Source organism: Homo sapiens, chromosome 4 (genome assembly GCF_000001405.40).
Source record: "Homo sapiens chromosome 4, GRCh38.p14 Primary Assembly".
NCBI lineage: Eukaryota > Metazoa > Chordata > Mammalia > Primates > Hominidae > Homo > Homo sapiens.
Genome location: NC_000004.12, coordinates 117,631,190 through 117,655,921, shown reverse-complemented (window position 1 = coordinate 117,655,921; position 24,732 = coordinate 117,631,190). Strand labels below are relative to the sequence as shown.

Below are 24,732 nucleotides of genomic sequence, written 5' to 3'. Positions count from 1 at the left end.
CAATAGCAAAGACTTGGAACCAACCCAAATGTCCAACAATGATAGACTGGATTAAGAAAATGTGGCACATATACACCATGGAATACTATGCAGCCATAAAAAATGATGAGTTCATGTCCTTCGTAGGGACATGGATGAAATTGGAAATCATCATACTCAGTAAACTATCACAAGGACAAAAAACCAAACACCAGATGTTCTCACTCATAGGTAGGAATTGAACAATGAGAACACATGGACACAGGTAGGGGCACATCACACTCTGGGGACTGTTGTGGGGTGGGGGGAGGGGGGAGGGATAGCATTAGGAGATATACCTAATGCTAAATGATGAGTTAATGCATGCAGCACACCAGCATGGCACAGGTATACTGTGTAACTAACCTGCACATTGTGCACATGTACCCTAAAACTTAAAGTATAATAATAATAAAAAATATATATATACAAAAATTAAAAAAAATCTAGTCTTAGCAATCTTCAATTATATAATGTGTCAGTGTTAACTATAGGCACCCTGCTGTACAGTAGACTCCAAAAACTTATTTCTCCTAACTGAAACTTTGTATCATTGAATGAATCTCCCCATTTTGAGTCCCCATCAGCCCTTGATAACCACCATTCTATTCTCTGCATTTCATTTTACATATTGTATATAGTTAAATACTGACCTTAATATTACATTTCCCAGAGAGTACTGTGATCCAATGAACAGAACACATGACAGAATAAGAATGTCAGCATTTGAGATATGAGTCTCCCCCTTGTTGTGTGATATTATGCAAATGAATCCTAATCTTAATCTGCCTTAGTTTATTTTCCTTATATATAACATGAGGACAATCATTGCTTTGTCTCCCCTTGGGGGAAGTAAGGAAGGTTAAAGGAAATTGATGTTAAAATGCATTTGAACTCTAAGGGCTATATGAATTTAATATAGTTTTTGTTTCATAAGGTTGCCCATGCAAATAATTATAAATATTCAAATGTTTTTCTAAACAGAAACATTACCTGAGTGCAAAGTTGAAACTTCATTACTTCTTTATAAGGATTAAGGTCTTTGGAGCTGTCAAAGTTTCCTGCTTAAGCCTTCATCCTCTTCTTTATACTCGAGACTGAAAAAAGAGGTTTATTGCTAAATACAATACTCCAGATAAGACATGACCAATACAGCATATTACTGATTTGTTTCAAGTATCATGTTATATCTTATACATATCAGTTGTGCTAAATACATGCTTCTATTAATAAAGACTAAAATTCTTAAAATTGTAGGAATCTTATATCAGGAATAATAGATTTTAAACTTGTTACCACTGGAAAAATAAAGTTTTCTTTAAAATGAACTGCTGGTATTAAGCTAGGCACAGATTTACACCACTCACAGATAATTGTTTGAGTGGTAGGCAAGTGTCGTTTTGGGAAGGATGTGTGCAAATTCTAAATTTCATTTTGGAATTAATTAATTCATTTGCCAGAGGTCGATTTGACTCCAGCATTGTGAATTGCAGAAATCTAAATAACCCCAAAGAGTCTTTGCATCAACAACAAGTAGAATGACTGCTTCTTATATAGTCTTTCTCCTCCCTAATAGAAACAATGATGCTGCCTTGCAAGCAATGAACCATGAAGAGCAGTAAAACACCTTAATTTTATAGCTCTGTCCTTTGTGTACTCTTCCATGTATAATGTTTGAACGAGATAGAGTCAAGGGAGTTAGAGAGGAGGTACATTCCATTTCTTTTAAGGATAGCAATAAAAATCTCACTGCATTTTAAATGTCTTATCTACAAAGACTGTGCTTATTGATAAACCATTTTACTTTCCCCTCCTTTTGAAATAATAAGCTATGTTCTCTTTTATATTTTCTCGTTTGCAGCTCTACTGGGAGAATGTTCATTACATCATCATATATCTGTCTGAATTGGAAAAAACATCTCTAAATCCTACATTTAATTTTTTGGTCAAGTTGTGAAGAATCACTACCCAATGCATAGAATTACTTTAACGAAACTGAATTTTCTGTGAGGTTTTAATAATTAACAGTAACACTTCACTTCATCTTTTATGCTACTAAAGATGGGGTTCCCATGTTAAGAAGAGGGTATCTGAAGTACAGACTAAGTTGTGATTTGGCTGCAAATAATAAGGAAAAGTCTCCAGTGAGTTATTAAGGTTTCTTCCCTTGAAAAAGGTAGTAATTTACAGAAACTGATACATTATTACTAAAACACAATAAAAATGGTGCACACAGTTAAAATATTTGAAGTCATATATCAACTTAAAATAGCTATTATCTTTGCTATCAATTGGATAATATTTATATTACATATTAACTGAAGTAATCAGAAGGAAATAAAACTGAAAAAATACAGCCAGATAGGAAAAAATTAATTTGAAATATGACAATATGTTTAATAGTATAATTAAAAAGACTAACTCTTTTTTTTTAAAAAAACTATGATGTTCTTGTTAAAATTAAAATAAAGTTCACTTTTATATATATGGTATGCAGAATAATAGCCGTCTTCCACAAAAGATCCATGCCTCTATTCTCAGAATTTGGGATGATGTTACGTTAAGTGGCAAAGGAATTTTGCAGATGTGAATAAATTAAGCATTTTGAGGTGGGGAGGTTATATGCTGGATGATCTTGATAGTTCCAAAGTTATTACAAGAGTTCTTACAAGGGGAAGAGGAAGGCAGGAGAGTGAGAGGAGTGTGGAAGCAGAGGCTGGGGTGATGCAACTGCTGATAAGAAAACTAGAAAAGTCAAGGAACAGCTTCTCCCCTAGAGCCTCCAGAAGGAACCAACCCTACTAACACTTTGATCATAGTCCTATAAGACTCATTTTGGAATTCTGAACTCCAGAGCTACAAGAGAATAAATTTGTGTTGTATTAAGCCACTAAGTTTGTGGTAATTTGTTATAGCAGCAACAAAAAAAACTAGTATAATGCAAAAGGAGAGTGTAATTTTAGTTCTAGGCTATAAATTCATTGAATATTAAAATAATCTCAACATTAATTCTCGTATGAATCATGAATATACTAACTTTAAACACTTATTGAAAGCCAATGCCTCTAAATTAAGGATTCAGCTATGAGTTTTAGATTTCTTAGAATTATATAAAATGTTCCATTAAAATTCTTTATTTTTGGAAAAATGTGCCAATATGGCTGGCTTAGAAGCAGCTAGTGTGCACCACTCTCGTGGAGAGGAAACAGATCTTCAAGTGGATTGTTCAGGAGGCCATGTTGGGATTCATCAAGGAAGCAACAGAGACCCATGGAGTGCAGACAGGAGCAAGGCAGGACAGCTGCCCACCCAAGATTGATGCAGAGCCAGAGAAGGCTCCCTACTGTGGGGAAAGGTAAGTGAGTGAGAGCCCCTGGAAATCCACACTTTTGCCACAGACCTTTGCAATCCTGGACACAGGAGATCCTCCTTGATGCCCTTGGCCTCTAGACTGACATAGAGATCTGCCTGAAGCTTGGGCAAACACACTGCTCAAGCCCAGCTGGGGCCCCATGGTTCTTGGATCTCTGAGCACCTGAGCAGCTGCTATGGTAGCCCTGCCAACAAGAGAGGCCAGGCTCTCTCATGGGCCGCTAGTATGGAGGCTGCATTCATGGTGCTGAGGAGTAGATGGATTAAACACCCCACCTCTGCTGCACCCCACCAGGAAAGGCCACTGGCCTGGGACCCCAGTGCAGCTATTCCACCCCTGCCTAAGCACTCTGGCTGGTGGCAGCTGTGCATTTCTCTGGGATGGTGCTCCCAAAGGTAACTGACAGGACTGCTGCATTGCTGCTGCCATGGTCCCTGCTGCTACTGCCTGCAGGCTGGGAAGAGAGCAAAGAGCCTAAGAATTGTCACAGGTCTCCAGCACACTGCAGCTGCCATACAGAAAGGTGGCCAGACTGTTTTCCACATGAGTCCTGAGTCCCTGCCCCTGCTTCTCTTTAGGCAGGGCCTCCCAGCTTGGACCCCCAGTGCAGCTGGGTGGAGCTCCCAGAGACAACTAACAACCACTCTGCCATTGCCACAGCTGCACTATAGGCTCTGGCTCCTCTAAGTCTAGGGGAGGAACAAAGAACCTGATTGCTTTGCTTGTACTTCTAGCACACTGCAGCCACCGTAAGGAGAGAAGACCAGACTATGTTCCCTGTGAGCCCTTGTGCCCCCACTCTTTACCAGGCAGAGCACCCCCTGGCTTGGGGGACCCATAGTGTAGCCTCTACACCCTTGGTTGATTACTCCCATCAGCCATGGTTCCATGTTTCTCTACACTGGAGACCCCAGAGGCAACTGACAAATTCTCTGACATTGCTTCCACAGGGGTCCCTACTCCTACTGCCCCCAAGCTGGGGAGGGAAAAAAAGGCTGAGCTACTCCCAAGGCTGTGGTGGTAGCCTGGAATTGCCAAGCTGAGGTTTGTGAATGGCACTTAAGCAGAAGAGGAGCTGCACTGTAAGAGCACTGGGAAAGCTGAGTCTCAGGATTGTGTGGTCTGCCATGGGAGTGGGGCATGCCTTCCTCTCAGGGCTGGCCCAGAAAATGCCTGTGCCTGAGGAAGTGCTGTGGGCCAAATACTTGACAAAATAAATGAAGGTACAGTGGCAGTGATTGGAGGGGGCTCCTCCATTGTCCAGGAGCTGACTTGGTGAGGGGATCACCTCTCTCCCCACTGCACTGCAGAGCATGAATGCAAATGCCAGGAAATAAAAAGGAGCCACATGGCTGAGTAAAAGCTTATCTACTGGCCATGACTCTTAAGCATCATCTACTGGATTGCAGCACAAGCTACAACAACAAAAATACACTGTTAATTCTCTCCCTATGAAACCAAGGGCAAGAATTCAGCCACCAAGGCCCTGCGCAGTGCCTGGACCATCTGAAAACCTGCAGAAACAAAGCGAATCGTCTATCCTCAGCTTACACCTTACTTAAAGGAACACTAACCCTCCCATATGAGACAAAATCAGCCCAAGAACTCTGGAAATTCAAAAAGCCAAAGTGTCTTTATACCACCAAATGAGTCCACTAGCTCCCAAGTGATGGCTCTTAACCAGTCAGAAATGACTGAAATGACAGACATAGAATTCCGCATCTGAATGATGAGGAAGTTCATTAAGATTCAGGAGAAAGGTGAAACCCAATCCAAGGAATCCAGTAAAATAATCCAAGAGTTGAAAGACAAAATAGCCATTTTTAGAAGAATCAAAGTGAACTTCTAGGGCTGAAAAGTTCACTACAAGAATTTGATAATACAATGGAAAGTACGAACAGCAGAATAGGCCAAGCTGAGGAAAGAATTTCAGAGCTTGAACACTAGTTGTTTGAATCAACTGTCAGAAAGTAATAAAAAAAAAAGAGAATTAAGAAAAATGAACAAAACCTTTGAGAAATATGGGACTATATAAACAGATCAGATCTATGATTCATCAGCATCCTTGAGAGAAAAGGAGAAAGAATAAATAACTCAGAAAATATATTTGTGGAAAAGTCCAGAAAAATTTCCCTAATCTTTCTAGAAATGTTAACATGCAAATTCAAGAAATACAGAGAACCCCGGCTAGATCCTATGCAAGATGACCATACTCAAGGCACACAGTCATCAGATTCACTAAGGTCAACACAAAAGAGTAAATCTTTTTGTTTTTGTTTAATTTCCAACTTTTAAGTTTAGGAGTACATGTGCAGGATGTGCAGGTTTGTTACACAGGTAAACACGTACCATGGTGGTTTGCTGCACGGGTCATCCCATCACCCAGATATTAAGCCCAGTATCCATTAACTATTCATCCTGATCCTCTCCCTTCTCCCACCCCCTGCCCTCTCACAGGCCCCAGTGTGTGTGTTTTTCCCCCCATGTGTCCATGTGTTCTCGTCATTTAGCTCCCACTTATAAGTGAGAACATATAGTATTTGGTTTTCTGTTCCTGCATTAGTTTGCTAAGCCTAATGGTCTCCAGCTCAATTCATGTCCCTGGAAAGGACCAACCTCGTTTCCTCTTATGGCTACATAGTATTCCATGGGGTATATGTACCACATTTTAAAAGAATAAATCTTAAAAGCAGCTAGAGTCAAGTCACGTACAGAGGGAATCCCATCATGCTAGCAGCAGATCTCTCAGCAGAAATATTAAAAACCAGAGAGATTCTGAGCCTATTTTTATCTTCCTTAAATAATTAGAAATAAAAAAATTTCCAACCAAGAATTTTGTGTCTCACCAAACGAAACTTAATAAGTGAAGGAGAAATAAAATTATTCTCAGACAAGAAAACACTTGTGGAATTTCTTTTAAGACCAGCCTTATGATAGATAGGTCCTTAGGAATTGCTAAACATGGAATTGAAAGAACAATACCGGCTACCACAGAAACACAATTAAGCACATATTCCACAAGCACTATAAAGCAACCACACAATCAAGTCTATATAAAAACCAGGTAACAACATGACAGTATCAAAATCTCACGTTTCAATACTAACCCTGAATGACATGGGTTAAATGTCCCACTTTAAAGGAATAGAGTGCTAAACTGGATAAAAAGACAAAAGACCCAACCATACGCTGTCTTCAAGAGACCTTCCCATATGTAACAATATCCACAGACAGGCTCAAAGTAAAGGGAAGGAGAAAGATATACCATGAAAACAGAAAACAAAAGAGCAGGAGTAACTATTATATCAGGTAAAACAGATTTAAAACCAATAAAAATTAAGAAGGGCAAAGAAGGACATTACATAATTACAAAAGGGCAGAATTCAACAAAAAGACTTACACATACATGTACTCAACATTGGAGTACCCAAAATCATAAAACAAGTTCTTCTTGGCCTATGAAACAACTTAGACAACAACATAATAATAGTGGGAGACTTCGACACGCGCTGACAGCATTAGACGGATCATCAGGGCAGAAGACTAAAAAAGAAACTCCAGACTTAAACTCTACACTAGACCAATTGGACCTAATAGACATCTGCAGAACACTCCACCCAACAATCACAGAATATACATTTTCCTCATTTGCACATGGAACATATTCTAAGATCAACAACATATTCAGTCATAATGCAAGCCTAAATAAAAAAATGAAATCATACCAAGAACACCCTTGGACCACAATGTATTAAAAATAAAAATCAATATGAAGATGATCTCTTAAAACTACACAAATACATGTTAATTAAAAAACCTGTTCCTGAATAACTCCTGGGTGAACATTGAAATTAAGGCAGAAATAAAAAAAAACTTTGAAATTAATGAAAATAGGGACACAACACACAAAATATTTGAGATGCAGCTAAAACAGTGTTAAGAGGAAAGTTTGTAATGCTGAGTGCCTTCATAAAGAATTTAGGAAGAACTCAAATTAACAATCTGACTTTGTGCTTAATGGAACTAGAAAAAACAAGAACAAACCAACTCCCAAACTAGCAGAAGAAAATAAATAACTAAAATTAGAGAAGAACTAAATGAAATTGAGATGCAAAAGTCCATACAAAAGATCAATGAAATCAGTGCTCAGTCTTTCAAAAAAAACAAAACAAAAAAAAAAACAAAGAAAACAAGAAGAAATAAACAAGATTGATAGACCACTATTAGCTAGGTTAACAAAGAGAAAGTAGAAAAATCCAAAATAAGTACAATGAAAAAATGACAAAGATGGCATTGCAGTCGATCCCATAGACACAGAAAAGATCCTCAGAGTGTAATAAAAACAACTCTATGCACATAAATAAGAAAATCTAGAGGAAATGAATAAATTTATGGAAACATACAATCTCCTAAGATTAAAGTCAGGAAGACATTGAACCCTGAATAGATGAATATCAAGCTCTGAAATCGAATCAGTAATGAAGAAAATACCTATCAAGTAGAAAAATTCCTGGAACACATGAATTCACAGCTGAATTCTACCAAATGTACAAAAGAGAATTGGTACCAATACTACTGAAACTGTTCCAAAAAATTGAATAGGAGGAGCTCCTCCCTAGCTAATTCTAGGAAGCCAGCATCAGCCTAATACCAAAATCTATCAGAGACTCAATGAAAAAATGAAACTTCAGGCCATATTCCCCATGAACATAGATAAAAAAAATCTTCAACAAGGTACTAGAAACCAAATCCAGCAGTATATCAAAAAGATAATACACTTTGATCAAGTAGACCTCATTCCTAGGATGCAAGACTGGTTCAACATATGCAAATCAATGAATATGATTCACCACATAAACAGAATCAAAAGTAAAAACCACATGTTTATCTCAATAGACGCAGAAAAAGCTTTCAACAAAATTCAACATCTCTTCATGATAAATGCCCTACACAGACTAGACATAGAGCCATCTATCACAAACCCACAGCCAACTTCATACTGAATGGACGAAAGCTGCAACCATCCCCCTTGAGAAGTGGAACAAGGCAAGGATGCCCACTCTCAGAACTGCTGATCAACGTAGTACTGGAAGTCCTGCCCAGAGCAATCAGGCAAGAGAAAGAAATTAAAAGCATTCAAATAGGAAAAGAAGAAATCCAACTATCTCTATACACTGACAATAGAAATCAAAATATCTCTCTCTATACTTTGACAATATAATTCTATACCTAAAAAATCCTAAAGACTCTACCATAAGGTTCCTAGAACTGACAAACAACTTCAGTAAAGTTTTAGGATACAAAAGCAATGTAGGAAAATCAGTAGCATTTTTATACCCAAACAATGTCTAGGCTGAGTGTGAAATCAAGATTGGAATCCTACTTGCAATAGCCACAAAGAAAAAGAAATATCTAAGAATACAGCTAGCCAAGGAGGTGAAAGGTCTCTACAAGAACTGCCAAACACTACTGAAGGAAATCACAGATGACAAAAACAAATGAAAAAACATCGCATGCTCATGAATTGGAAGAATCAGTATTGTTAAAATGGCCATACTGCCCAAAGAAATTGACAGATTCAAGATGATTCCTATCAAATTACCAACATCATTCTTCACAGAATTAGAACAAAAATATTCTAAATTTCATATGGAACCAAAATGGGCCCAAGTAGCCAAAGCAATCCTAAGCAGAAAGAACAAAACTGGAAGCATCACACTTCCCAAATTCAAATTATATTATAAAGCTACAGTAACCAAAACAGCATGGTACTGGTACAGAAACAGATATACAGACCAAAGGGACATGTTAGAGAAACCAGAAGCAAAGTCACATGTCTACAATAATCTTATCTTCAACAGAGTTAACAATAACAACCAATGAAGAAAGGACCCTCTGTTTAATAAATGATGCAGGGATAACTGGCTAACCATGTGTAGAAGATTGAAACTGGACCCCTACCTTTCCTCATATACAAAAATTAATTGAAGATGAACTAAATATTTAAGTGTAAGACCTGAAATTATAAAAATCCTAGAAAACCTAGGAAATACCCTTCTTGACATCAGCCTTGGCAAATCATTTTTGGCTAAGTCTGCAAATAAGTTGTAATAAAACAAATATTGGCAAGTAGGAACTAATTAAACTAAAGAACTTCTGCCTGATAAAACAAACTATAAATAGAGTAAACATACAACCTCCAGAATGGGAGAAAGTATTCACAAACTATGCATCTGACAAAGGAATGATATCCAGAATCTATTAGGAACTTAACCAAATCAACAAACAAAAAGCAAATAACCCCATTAAAATTTGGGCAAAGAATAAACATATGAAAAATGCTCATCATTACTAATCATCAGAGAAATGCAAATCAAAACTACAATCAGATACTATCTCACACCAGTCAGCTATTATCAAAAAGTCAAAACAACAGATACTAGTGAGGCTGAAGAGAAAAGGGAATGCTTATATGCTGTTAGTGGAAATGTACATTAGCAGTTTGGAGATTTCTCAAAGAACTTAAAACAGAGCTAACATTTAACCCAGAGATCCCATTATAGGACATCTACCCAAAGAAAAATAGATTATTATAACAAAAAGATACATGCGCTTATATATTCAACGCAGTACTATTCACAATAGCAAAGATATGAAATCAATCTACATGCCCATAAATGGTGGATTGGATAAAGAAATGTGGTACTTATACACCATGGAATACTATGCAACCATAGAAAATGAAATCATATCCTTTGCAGCAACTCAGATGGAGCTGGAGGTCATAATCCTATGTGACCTAACTCAGGAACACAAAGCCAAATACCACATATTCTCACAAGCAGGAGCTAAACCATGAGCACACATGGACATAAACGTAGGTACAATAGACACTGTGAACTACTAGTGTTGAGAGAAGGAGGAAGGCAAGGGTTGAAAAACTATGTATTGGGTATTTTGCTCACTATCTGAGTGCAATATACCCACGTAACACATCTGTACATGTAACCCCTTTATTTAAAATAAAAGAAAAAAAATGCTTCATTACTAAATTAGATGTTAAGTTTGTATATAACAGACCCTAATTCAACTTCTACAACAATGGTGATGTTAATAGTGCTTCAGATGATCTAAACAACTGTGTTAACAACTTTATGGTAAGGAATTTGTAGTCATAATGCAATGTCAAGAATTCTGTATATATAAATTGTTTCTTCTTTAACAAGTATTTTTTCATTAAACTATGGTCAGAAGCCAGAACATCCCAGGCATCATACCAATGATTTTAAATTGTTGGAAATTTTTAATTAGAAATATATAACTCAGTGAGATTTTACCATAATTGCAAATATTTTACTTCATGTTATGTAGACTCATAGCTCTTAAACATTTTAAGTCTGTTATTATATTCTAGTAGTGCCAAGAAGCTTATGAGGCATTTAATAAACATCTTGAAATCCATTTACACTAGCACATTTCAATGAAACTGTTTCCAGTATAATAGATTTTGATAGAATTGATTACATTGCTGAATGTAAATATCATTTCAGGTTGAAGTTAAACTTTGCATAAAGGTTGAAAAACAAGTCTCTTGTCAAATTTTGCTCTTAAGGGTCCTATGTTAAAATATAGTGTGCATAATTTATTTTACAGGAAAGTGAATGTTAGCATATTATAGAACTACAACTGATACATGTTTGTGTGCATAGTTAAAAAATGCATGACTATAAAACCTCTTGGATTATTGGAATATGCATCTGAAACATTTTCTTAGCAATAAACTTTGACACATAAAAATTTATATTAACTTGATATCTTGTTTATTGATTTATTTTTAAAGTTTTTATAAGGTAAGAAACATACAACACTTCATAACCCTTTAATGCTATGGTCTGAATGTTTGTGTCCCTCTGCAAATTTGTATGTTGACATCTAATCCCCAACATGATGATATTAAGAGTGAGGCCTTTGGGAAGTGATGAGGTTATGAAGGCAGAGCTCCAGAGAGATACCTTGCCCCTTCTGCCATGTGAGGACACAGCAACAAAGCACCACTTATGGAACAGAATGCACCTTCTTACCAGACACAAAATCTGTTAGCATCTTAATCTTGGACTTCACAGCCTCCAGAGCTATGAGAAATAATGTTTGTTGTTTATAAATTACCTAGTCTAAGATATTTTGTTATAGCAGCCCAAATGGACTAAGACATTGGGTGACCATGTTTATATTTTTAAATAAAATAATTGCCTTAAAAATAACTGTATATAGGTTTTTTAGAAGAAAATATAATTATATAGAGTTTTTAGAAACAAAATTACTTTTAAATCCAATTGTCCTCAAATCAAATTTGTTGTTTATTTTGTTTACCTGCTATATTTGGATTTCAAAAAATAAGTAGATGGATGACACCTAAAATGTAAGTATGTGTTATTTTTGTTTTTTTGTTTTTTGTTTTTGTTTTGTTACTTTACCAAACAGAACCCAGAAAATTTTCATATATCCTTTAATTTATTAAGTTGTCAGATTAAAGCCTATTTATATAATAAGTTATTTAACGGTATCTTTCTGATGCACAGTTGAACTCATGGAGATACAGAGTAGAATTATGGTTATCAGAGTCTGGGAAGGGTATTGGGGAGTAGTGGGGTAAGTGGGGATAATTAATGTGTATGAAAATACAGTTACAATGAATAAGACCCAGTATTTGATAGCAAACAGGATGACTACAGTCAACAATAATTTATTATATATTTTAAAATAATGAAAAGAGTGAAATTGGAATGTTCTTAACACAAAGAAAGGACAAAATGCTTGCGGTAATGAATACCCCCAATTACCCTGTTGTGATTATTACACATAGTATTTCTGCATCAGAATATCACATGTACTGCCATGCATATATATATATATATATATATATATATATATATATATATATATATATTTACCTACTGTATACCCATAATAATTAAAAATGAAAAACTTAATATAAAATAAAAAATATGGTAACATTGAATTTCATGGGTATGCACATTGAAAAGAAAATGGCCATTTACTGCTATATCTATGAATACAAATAACTTCCCAATTTCAGCTTTATTGCAGGTGTGGGGGCCAACTTAAGAGCCTTAGGAAAGATGCATGATGCTGCATCTAACCATGTGTTAGATATTGACATAGGGCCTCCCAGCTTGTATGGCAGATCCACACTGCAGGAGGAATATTAATTGCTATGTATCATGTATTTTCCAATAAATACTTGTTCAATGATTCTATTTGTCATTTTCTCTGTAAAATTTCTAGGGGGAACAACACAAAGGCTACTCTTTGACAAGGTAAGAATCAAGGCTGAATGGAGCAATTTGAAATTATTAATAATTTAACTGTTTTAGCAAAATTGAGTCAGAAAGTAACTAGATTATATGGTTTGGCTTTTTGTACCAACCAAGTCTCTTCTTGAATTGTAATCCCACATGTCAAGGAGGGACCTGATGGAAATGATTGAATCATGGGGCCAATTTCCGCCATGCTGTTTTTGTGATAGTGAGGAGTTCTCATGAGATCTGATGGTTTATAAGTGGCGGTTTTCCCTGCACTCGCCCCTCCCTCCTGCCACCTAGTGCAGAAGTTACTTGCTTTTCCCTCAACTTCTGCCATGGTTGTAAGTCTCCTGAGTCCTCCCAGCCATGGGGAACTGTGAGTAAATTAAACCTCCTTTCTTTATAAATTACCCAGTCTCGAGTAATATCTTTATAGCAGTGTGAAAACTGATTGATATATTAGACCACATAAGAACTTCTGCCAGTCATGGTAGACATATTTATGAATGACCTTCAAAAGTTTCTTAGACATTCTTTTAAATATTTCTTCAACAAATATTTATATAACAGGCACCGTTTGAGGAGATGAAAATGCCATCTTCTCAATAAATATAAATAAAAACCTGACCTTTAGGGAATTACCTTCTAAGAAGAGAAATACACAATAAACACATAAATAAGTCCAATATTATGTTAGAATGTGATAGGTGCTGCAGAAGGAAATGTTGGCTGATACCTGCTTTATAACAGTGGCTGGCTTTGATTGCCGAAGCCAATATTGTTAGGCTTTTTATGAGTTGATAATTGAGAAACAGAGGTACAACAATCACCTTTATATGTTTACTTATGAATATAATTATATAACTATGTATGAATTTAATAAAACAGAGAAAACTATTATTTTCACTTGTTAAAGCAAAAATGGTAGAAGAAAAGAGATAACTCCCTTAAACTGTGTTTACATGTAAAATTGACTTTTATTTTTGGTTTTCTTAAAAACTTGAGAGAAACTCTTTTTTTGTAAGTTGGCACTGATGCACAACTTGTAAGCACTGTAGTCATATTATATCAAAAGATAACTTATTTTGAAACTGGTAGATATGAATTTATATATATACTACTTTATACCAATCAATAAGCATGATGTATAGCTCTAAGAACAATTTTTCAATTACACACATATGCACAGGTGCCACTGTCCCTGAATGAAGAATGCTTGCAAGCTGGAGTTCTTCATTAGCCATTCATTCCCACTCATTGCTCAGGGCTATTTTGCTCTGCTCACTTATCTCTGTTGATGAAGCAGTCCCTGACGCAGGGGTTACAAAGTTCTCTGCTGGTTTAGTTCAGTGTATTTTAGTTATAAGTGGCAGTTACCCCTTCCCTTGCCCCTCTCTCCTGTCACCTAGTGAAAAAGGTACTTGCTTTTCCCCCACTTGCCTCAATACTGAATCAGAAGACAGAAATTATTTTTCCTCTCGTTAGTGGCTATGGCTGTTTCAATACAACCTACAGCAAAAATGAAACAAAACCCCAAACTCTCCAAAACTGAAAATGAAAACCAAAACAAACAAACAACAAATCAATAAAATGTCAGATAAAATTTTCGATAATATTCTCAATTTCTTTAGTGACTTTTTTTTTCTGTCATGATTTTGATGTCCCTGGGTTTTACTATGCCAGAAGCAACTTATATTAAAATATTATTAAAATAAGCCATTGAAAGAATTACTTTCTTATTCTTCTATTTCTTCTACTTTCTTATTCTTTGCCCTACTCCTTTCTTCCATTTCAGAAATTAGATTTAAAATTAATTAACTTCTTTCCTAGGGTTGACAAATGAGGAATTTTAATGAGTACTATACATTCAGTTCTTAAAATAGAAAGACAAAAAGAAAAAGAATTACATGAGTGACCAATTGTAAGATGTATTTTAAACTTGAAGATAAAATATTTTTTATAATTTAAAAAAGTTCTAGGTAGCAATTTGGCTGCATCAATACTTTTTTTTTAATACTTAGAAAAAAATAAATGGAAAATATGATTCTTTTCTGTTGAAGGAATTACTTTTGTTCAGGAGGAAAGCAGAAGGAAACTTAGGCCACAGCTTCATGAGTGAGGCTGAATCATACAGAACTGAAATAATTGATTCAGTGTTTTTGTTGTACAAAGGCACCCATGAGACACATACATGCACTGCTAAATGAACTTCTGGGCTGCAGGGATTTCAAAATCTTTAGGACCAAACCGATTTTTTTGTTGTTGTTGTTGCTGTGATCACATAGATCTCTTTAATACCAAGAAGGGAGTATTTGGCTTCATGATTGATTTTTAAATTGTTAATCATTGTGTTGTTTTTCTCTGTAGAACTGTCATATTTATCATTTGGATAAGCCTTTTACATCAATGAGTCTCTGTTTTTTCGGGGGAAGAGAATTGATTTAGAAAAACGCTAGCCAGCATGTTGCTGGCTAAAAATATATTTTGGCTATTTAAAAAAACATTCATTGAGCTCTCACCTCCTGAGGCACAGTATGGTATTGTGGGACAGATACAACATAATTTTAAAATATGTTCTTTGTTTTTTTATGGCCATATTAACATCCATCCTTGAAATAATGCACAAAAAGTCATAAAGCAACAAATCTAGAATTTGCACAATTTATTATAAAGTGAAAATCTGAGAGTAAAACTATGGTATGTATATTAGGTGATGAGTACTTTAGGATCCAGAAGTTGAATATAATGCTAGGTTCTGAAGGAAGCATTTGAGGGTGACGAAAGGTGAGTAGTGTTGGAGCTGACCATAACATCAAAATATAAATGATACAATAATATTTTCATAAGCATTAGTTCTTCATTAAATATTAAAATGATATTATAAAAGTGGATACTAAACAAAGACCAGCTATATAACCTCTTATATCTTATGCAATTTATAAGCACTAAAAACCAATTTATAATCCATCATTTTCTTTTAATCATCCAGGGAGTTTATGGAAAGAGTGTAAATGCTGGTTAATAACTATATACTAGAAAATTAATTTCATGACTAACGAGGAACATTTTAAACATTGTTTATAAATACATAATTTTTTAAATATTTGGACTTTGAAGAAGAAATGCTCAATGGAAACTATACTAGGAAATAATAAACAAATTAGAAAAAATTCAACCAAAGAATGTTCTGAGGAAATTCTGGAGAAATATATTTTACAACGTTCTATCATAAATTAATTGCAATATCACTGTTTAACTATTGTTTAACTACTTGGACAGATTTGATGTCAAGAGTTCTATTCATTTCATTTAGTAATGCTATAATAACTCATTTTAGTACACACCAGCATCTCTATCAGGACAGGACATAAAACCCTTCTCTGACTTATGTTACACATTTTCGTACATTAAAGAAAAAAACAACTCCAAAGCTGGCAAATCTAAATGAAAATCATTTTCAGGGAATGTGAATGTGGGTTCATAGACCAAACCTTGAAATGACAACATCTACCCCTGCTAAGACTACTGTTACTATTGCTACCTGATAAATAATTTGTCTCTATTGGACAGCATATTAGAGGCCTCAGAGTTCATAAGTCACTGTATTTCTATCAGATATGCCATTGTCACTGTACGTTTGTAAGGAAGGTCTATTTTATTTCTGTATAATAACAAATAATAATACAAACTTTATATTCCCAATAATATAAAAGCTGGCATAGAAAATGTAATTCTTTAATACACAATGGCACCATGCTTATGAAGGAGATCTATTAATGCAAGTACTATTTTTTTACTCTTTTTTCTATACTGCAAATCAAATGAAGTCCTTAAACAAGATCTTCCTTCCATATAGGATTAGTTATTGCTATTTTATTTTCTCTCCTCCCTCTGTAGAGACACGGTGTAACTCTCTCCCCATCCTTGTTGCACTTTCTCTTACACCCCATGGTCAGCCACTGTTCTGCAATGAGTTTCCTAGTTTTGCTGAGGACACTCAAAGGAAGACTGTCAAGCAGCAAACTCAGAGTGTGTGCTTGAGAGCAGGAATGTAAAAGGGACATTTTAACAAGTGCATTTGCTATAAACCAAGCTCCTAGTTTCAACTTCAACAATTTTCAACAGCTTCAACAATGAAGGAATAGCTTGACATTTTGTTTGTGGGTACTTAAGAGGCATCTATCATCCCAGTTATCTAGTGATTTCTAGAGCTGGAAAGTAGAGGCTGTAGTGCTCTGCCTGGGAAACAGATCTCAGGTAAAGAAACTAAAATCAAGTGAGTCAAACAGAAATGGGATTCTCTTGTAAAAGTTTAGAAAAATAAGCAAAGATAGGTTGAATAGGAGTGTATGAAGATGAACTTTGTAGAAATAACATGGAAATTTATAACAGTTCAAAGGACTCAAATAAATTACTCAAGAGATTTCAGCATCTGATGGGAATTATTAAACATTATCTGTAATTTAGTGAATAAATTCACATAACTTGGGAATGAAATTTTAAACCAAAGGGTGGAATTTAAGCTTATTTATTTACTCTTCAAAGCACCTGTGTCCAAAAGGACCCTATTTTCATAACATACTGGTTATGGTGAATTGGACAGATATTTTTAGCCTTTTGGATCCTAATTTTAATATATATAGATTAGGGGTTTTCTTAGTCAGTTTGGGCTACTATAGCAAAGTGCTGTGGACTGAGTGGCCTACAAACAACAGTTTATTTCTCACAGTCCTGGAGGCTAGGATTCTGAGATCAGAGTGCCAGTGTGGTTCAGTTCTAGTGAGAGCCCTCTTTTAGGTCTCAGACTACTGATTTCTCATTGAATCTCACAAAGTGAAAAGAAGATGAAAGAGTTCTCTGGAGTCTCTTTAATGAGAGTGCTAATCCCATTCATGAGGGCTCTGCCCTCAAGACCTTATTATCTCCCAAAAGCTCCACCTCCTAATACCATCACACTGGGAGCTAGAATTTTAAAATATGAATTTGCAGGAGACAAAAACATTTGTTATTCAGCCCATAACATCCCACTCCTGATTCCCCAAAGGTTGTTTATCTTGCAGGCAATACATGTTTATTTTATCTCACCAAACTCAGTAGTCTTAACTTTCCCAGCATCAACTCTAGAGTCTAAATTCGAAAGTCTCATCTAAATATCATTGTAAACAGATATACGTGAGATTCAGGGTATAATTTATTTTGAGGCAAACTTTCTCTATAGCTATGAACCCGTGTAACCAAACAGTTATGTGCTTTCATAATACAATGGTGGGGCATGTATAAAATAGATATTCCCATTCCAAAGGGAAAAACAGGAAAATAAGCAAGGGGGAAATCAGTCCCAAGTAAGTCTAAAACTTCACAGGGAAAACTTCATTAAACTTTAAGGCTTGAGAATAATACCCTTTGGCTCCATCCTTTGGACCCAGTGGGCAGTGGTTCCTTCTCTGAAGCTTTCCTTGACTTGGGTTGTGGCCCTGTGTCTGGGCAGCCTCGCTCCCACATGAGCTTAGACCATGTTGTAGCTCTCTGTAGGGACCCACCCATGATGCATGGGCTGGAGGCATCCCAGCTCACCTGAACCAGAGAGGAACTAGCTTGGCACCCCTCCCCTGACCCTAGCCTTTACACTCTGGGCCAGTGGTGTGAACAGCAGCTTTGATGATCTCTGAATCATCTTGGTCAAAGAGTCATTCTTCCTCTTCCTTTTCTGAAGAATAGAGAGTGGCTTTCACTGTGATGACTGATTAGGTCATACTAATTTCCTTATCAAATAGTCACTAGGCCACACTCTTAGTGTGAGCATACTTTCTTATTTTTTTCCAATATGAATAGACTAAGAATTTTCCAAATATTTAAATTTTGTTTTCGTTTAGTGTGTGTGTGTGTGTGTCTGTGTGTGTATGTTTAGCTAAATAATTCCCACTTCAAATCATTTTACTTTTCTTGCATTTTACTATAAGAACTCAAGAGGAACTAAGCCAATACTTCAAAACTTTGCTTTAAAATCTCCTCAACTATGTATTGTTTCATCACTTGCAAATTCTAGCTCCCACATAACATGATAACACAAACGCAATTTACCAAGTTCTTTGCCAATTTACAAGAAGGATCACCTGTCTTCTAGATTCCAATAACATGTTCCTCATTTCCATCTGAGACCTCATCAGAATAGTATTATTGCCCAAATTTCTGCCAATAGATTGCAATAGTCTGTTCATGATTACTTAGGGGTTTTTTTTTTTTCTTTTGATAGGATCTTACTTTGTCACCCAGGCTAGAGTACAATGGTGCGATGTCTTACTTCAGCTTCAGCCTCCTGAAGAGATCCTCCTGCCTCAGCCGCACAAGTAGTTGTGACTACAAGCACTACCACACCTAATATTTTTTAAAAATCTTTTTTTGTAGAGATGAGGTCTCCCTATGTTACCTAAGATGGTCTCAAGCTCCTGGGCTCAAGTGATCCTCAAGCTTCAGCTTCCCGAAGTGCTGGAATGACAGGTATGAGCCACTGCTTCCAGCCTACTTAGGTATTCTTTAGGAAGACAGAAGTTCTTGTGATAGCTCTTCTTTTTTCTCTCCGAGCTCTAGCAAATCACCTTGAAAAGTTTATTCAGGGTAGTCTAGACTTTTTCTAGCATGCTTCTCAAAACTTTTCTAGCCTCTACCCACTACCTATTTCCAATATTGCTTCTACATTTTTATGTATTTGCAACAGCAGCACCTCCACTTCTCAGTACCAATTTCAGTGTGTGTCATATAAGGCTGCTATAACAAAGCAGTGTAGCTGGGTGGCTTATAGATAGCAAATGAGAATGTATTTCTTAGTGTTCTGGAGGCTGGATGTCTGAGATCAGGGTGCCAGTCAGCACAGTCAAGTGCTGGTGAGGGCCCTCTATCAGGATGCAAACTGCTAACTTTTTACTATACCCTCACATGGTGGAAAGTGGGCAATACAGCTCTCTGGGGTCTCTTATATAAAGGCACTAATCCCATTCACAAAGCCTCCGTCTTCATGATCTAATTATGCCCCAAAGGCTTTGCCTCCTAATACCGTCACATTAGGGGTTAGAAATTCAATATATGAATTTTGGGGTAAGATTTAGTCCAACACAATGTTAATTATGGTACTAGTCTCAAATTACTTTCACAGAATAAATGGCATTATTTACATCCAAGGCTTAGAAAGTGCCTGCTGCATTAAGTGTCCTATACACATAACTACTAGTTTTATTATAACCCAAAACATATTTTACATAGTAGGCATGATCTAAATAATTATTACATATTTTATATTTGCAAATTGGTGATTGGCAGAAACTCAGTGTGTTTATTTGTTTTGATTTCAAATGTAATGATTATTTGAATAGATTTTTGACCTAAGTTTCCTAAATAAATAGATGTTAGAGATTCATAGTCATATGAAGTAAAATATATAAAATGTGGGCTAGCGATAGTTTCTCCAGCCTCTATACGTCCTTTAAAATATTTTATGTCCTAGTTTGGTTTTCAGCATGAGATACTTTTTTTTTTTCTTTAAGACAGAGTCTCGCTGTGTCACCCAGGCTGGAGTGCAATGATGCAATCTTGGCTCACTGCAACCTCTGCCTCCCAGAGTCAAGTGATTCTCCTGCCTCAGCCTCCTGAGTAGCTGGAATTATAGGCATGCACCACCATGTCCAGCTAATTTTAGTATTTTTAGTAGAGACGGTGTTTCACCATGTTGCTCAGGTTGGTCTTGAACACCTGACTTCAGGTGATCCACCTGCCTCGGCCTCCCAAAGTGCTGGGATTACAGGTGTCAGCCACCACGCCTGGCCAAGACACATTTTTAAGAATTCAAGAAGAGATGAAGGGGGCAGAAAGTATGCTAAGATTTAGGCATCTCATTTTCAATTATTTCAAAGATGAAGGACAAGATAATAGAAATTGAAAGTCAAAACTGTCTCTCAGTCATTAATTTGATTGTCTTTAAAACTTGAAAATTGACGTTTTCAAAAAGCAAAATGAAAATTCCTGCAGGAACTCTCTTTTCTAGGAGAACACTTTTATCCTAACCGTGATTATTTACAAGGAAGATATTTATAAGTCATACAAGAATAGGGGCTAAAATCTTCCAGCCTCATATGAGGTCACAGGCTAAAATATCATAAATAAAACATCTCTCATTTCTGTTAATAGGAAAGCACACTTGAGTGAAGCACAGACATGACAGTTGAGCATGTAAGAGATCCATTGGGTGCTACTTGAGAAAGCAGTTGGACTGCATTCTGGTTCTCTCTGAAGTTTGCTTTTAGGCAAGTACCAGATGGATTGTATTTTAGAAAAGATTTGTCTGGAACATTTCCTGATGTCATTATCCAGAGACAATGAGACAACTCATTTGCTTATGAGGTTTTTACTACAGCAATCTAGAGATGGAATTTCCAATGGAAATAAAAAAGGGTTTTTATAATTTCTATATTGACACTGGCAGCTCCGCCTTTTAAAAAATTAGTTCCTTTTAATGAATGTATTTTGGGAGTAGATTATAGTGTATTTAGTAAATTGGCACTGTGTTTAGAATATAAAAATAAAAGAATAAAACAACAGCATCAGTTACAACCACATATTTATTGTCTGGAAAATGATGGAGTCAAATGGCATTGATTTCTGGCATGATGTACTGTGACCCTCATCCATCTGTTCAGGGACTGATGCAGTAATCAATATAATCTTTTCCTGGGGAAGCCCAAGGCATTCCCTGCATTTAGACATAGGGCTTCCAAATTGCTAATGTGATTAAAGAGTAATCAAGGTCTTTTCAGAAGCTTTATTTTCCAGCATACTCTAAAAAGTTTTCCCCTTAAGAAGAGTTCTTTTTGATCAAATTTTGTTATTCAGCCTTTTCTTTTATCCTTTGCAATTCAATTATGTATAGTTCTATTGATTATATCCCTTGGAACTCTCAGCAGAGTTCAAGTAAAAACACATTTGCAGACTGGTTTAAAATCTACTACTACTACAATATGAATCTTCTTAAAATATCCATAAACATTTATAGTACAATATCTCACAACTGTTAGAAAGCGTGTTTTGACCTCAGCTTTGGGCAATAGGGACATTTGTATTGCTCTAAGAATAGTCTAAAATCATTCTAAGCAAACTATCACAAGGACAGAAAACCAAACACCGCATGTCCTCACTCATAGGTGGGAGTTGAACAATGAGAACACATGGACACAGGGTGGGGAACATCACACACCGGGTCCTGTCAGGAACTGGGGGGCTAGGGGAGGGATAACATTAGGAGAAATACCTAATTTAATGATGAGTTGATGGATGCAGCAAACCAACATGGCACATGTATACCTATGTAACAAACCTGCACATTGTGCACAGATACTGTAGAATTTAAAGTATAATAATAAAAAAAACTTCAAAAAAAAAGAGAATAGTCTAAGATCTTATAGATTTTGGTATTGTTTCAATGCATCTAAATCTGTTGATTTTTTTTTGAACTGAAGACAAAAACTGTTAATTTTCTAAAACACTGAAAAAGTTGCAACTGTTTTATTGTGTCAAAGTAATTTTATGTTTGCTGATTCAAAAGCCTGAGAATCTGAAATCAAATTTGTACTTCAGCAGTGAAAGCAAAATAAAATACTTTTTTTGACACATAAATCTGAAAGAACTTTACTGGGCTGAATAAAAAAAAAATAAAGTCTGATTAAATGTGGGAGAAAGTGGTGCTCACTTTCTCATATGGTAAGGTCATAATAAATTTTATTTTTCTCTAACACCCACGTGGTTATTAGGAACATGATTTTTGTTAATGCTGGAAGCTATAATTCCCTCAATGCCTATTGTTTCAGCTTTATTGAGGTATAAGTGATATAAAAATTATACATATTGTGTACAATGTGATATTTTAACATACATATACATTGTGAAATGATTACCACCATCAACCTAATAATATATTGAGCTATTTTATGTTTTTCATTGTGAGACATTTAAGACTATTAGCAAATTTCAAGTACACACTACTGTATTATTAACTGCTTCTATGAGTTCAACTTTCAACTATTTTAAATTCCACATAAGAGTGAAATCGTGCTGTACCCGTTTTTGTACCCATCTTATTTCACTTAGCATAATGTCTCTTAGGTTCATCCATTTTGTCACAAATGACAAGATTTTCTTCTTTATTAAGGCTGAATAGTATTCCATTGTGTATAATATCATATTTTCTTTATAAATTAATCCATCCATAGATACTTAGATTGATTCCATATCTTAGCTTTTGTGCATAATTCTGCATAATCATGTGAATGCAGATACCTCATTGACATATTGGTTTTACATACTTTGGATAAGTACCCAATAGTGGGATTGCTGAAGCAAATGGTAGTACTATTTTTTTTTTGAGGACTCTCCGTACTATAGATGGCTGTACCTGCTTCCATTCCTACCAACAGTGTAAAAGATTCCCTTTTCTCCACATCTTTGCCAAAACCTATCTTTTCTCTTTTTGACTACAGCCATTCCAACAGGGGTGTGAGATGATATCTCACTGTGGTTTTGATTTGCATTTCTCTGATGATTATTGATGTTGAGCATTTTCTATATACCTGTTGATCATTTGTATGTCTTCTTTTGAGAACTCTCTACTCAGATCCTTAGCCCATTTTTAAATTGGGTACTTATTTTCCTGTTACACAGTTACTTGAGTTATTTATATCTTTTAAAGAATGTAATAGATGGATGATTTGCAGATGTGTTCTCCCATGTTACAGGTTGTGTATTCACTTCATTGATTGTTTCTTACTGTAAAGAAGACTATTAGTTTTATTTAGTCCCACTTGTCTATATTTGGTTTTGCTACCTGTGGTTTTGAGATCATATCCAAAAATATTCCTGACTACATGAATGCCAAGAAGTTCTTTTTCTGTTTTCTTCTAGTAGTTTTAAAGTTTCAAGTCTGACATTTAAGTCCTTAATGCATTTCGAGTTGATTTTTGTATAGAGTGTAAAGTAAGGATCCAAATTTATTTATATGAGTGTGGATATTCAATTTATTCAGTACAATTTATTAAACAGACTACTCGTTCCTCACTGTAAGTTTTTGGCAACTTTGTTGAAGATTAGTTGACCATAAACACATAAGCTTGTTTCTTGGCTTTCTATTCTATTCCATTGGTCTATATGTCTGTTTTATATCAATATCATACTGCTTTGATTACTATAGCTTTGTTGTATATTTTGAAATTGGTTCATGTGATGTCTCCATCTTTATTCTTCTTGCTCAAGATTACTATAGCTATTTGGGGTCTTTTGTGGTTCTGTATAAATTCTAGAATTTTTTCTATATCTGTGAAAAAAGATATTGGAATATTGATAGAGATTGCAGTGAATCTGTAAATCATTTTTGGTAGTATGGATATTATTAGTTCTTCCAATATTGATATGTTGGATGTAATTTTGCCGCTTCCAATAAGTTTTGGTATGTTGTATTTCCATTTCATTTATCTCAAGATATGTTTAAATTTCTGTTGTTGTTTTTTCTTTAATGTATTATTTGTCCAGGAGCACATTTTTAATTTCCATGTATTTGTGAGTTTTCTATTTTTCCTCCTGTTATTGATTTCTAGTTTCATACCACTGTGGTCAGAAAAGATAGTTGATATTATTTCAATCTTTTTGAATTTCTTAAGACTTGTTTTATGGCCTTACATATCATCTAAGTGAACAGCGTTCTGTGTGTGCTTGAAAAGAATGTGTGCTGCTAAAAGGAGAAATGTTCTGAATATGTCCGTTGGATCCATTTGCCTATAGTGCAGTTCAAGGCCACTCTTCATATTAGTTTTCTGTCTGGAGGATTTGTACATTTTTAAAAGTAGATGAGTTAAGTCTCATACTATTATTGTAGTGCTATTTATCTCTTTAGTTTTATTAGTATTTGCTTTATATATTTAGGTACTGTAATGCTGGGTGCCTGTGCATTTACAAAATTTATCATTTTGATAAACTCACCCCTTA

The 24,732-nt window shown here is 35.5% G+C and overlaps 1 long non-coding RNA gene across 1 annotated transcript in view; it reads right to left on the bottom strand.

The window, feature by feature from the left end:
* Positions 1–24,732, bottom strand: part of LINC01378 (long intergenic non-protein coding RNA 1378) — a 260,706-nt gene that overhangs the window by 33,182 nt on the left and 202,792 nt on the right. Inside the window, exon 3 of the long non-coding RNA NR_125757.1 lies at positions 1,012–1,115. This is a non-coding gene — a long non-coding RNA (long intergenic non-protein coding RNA 1378). The remainder of the gene's footprint in view (positions 1–1,011; positions 1,116–24,732) is intronic.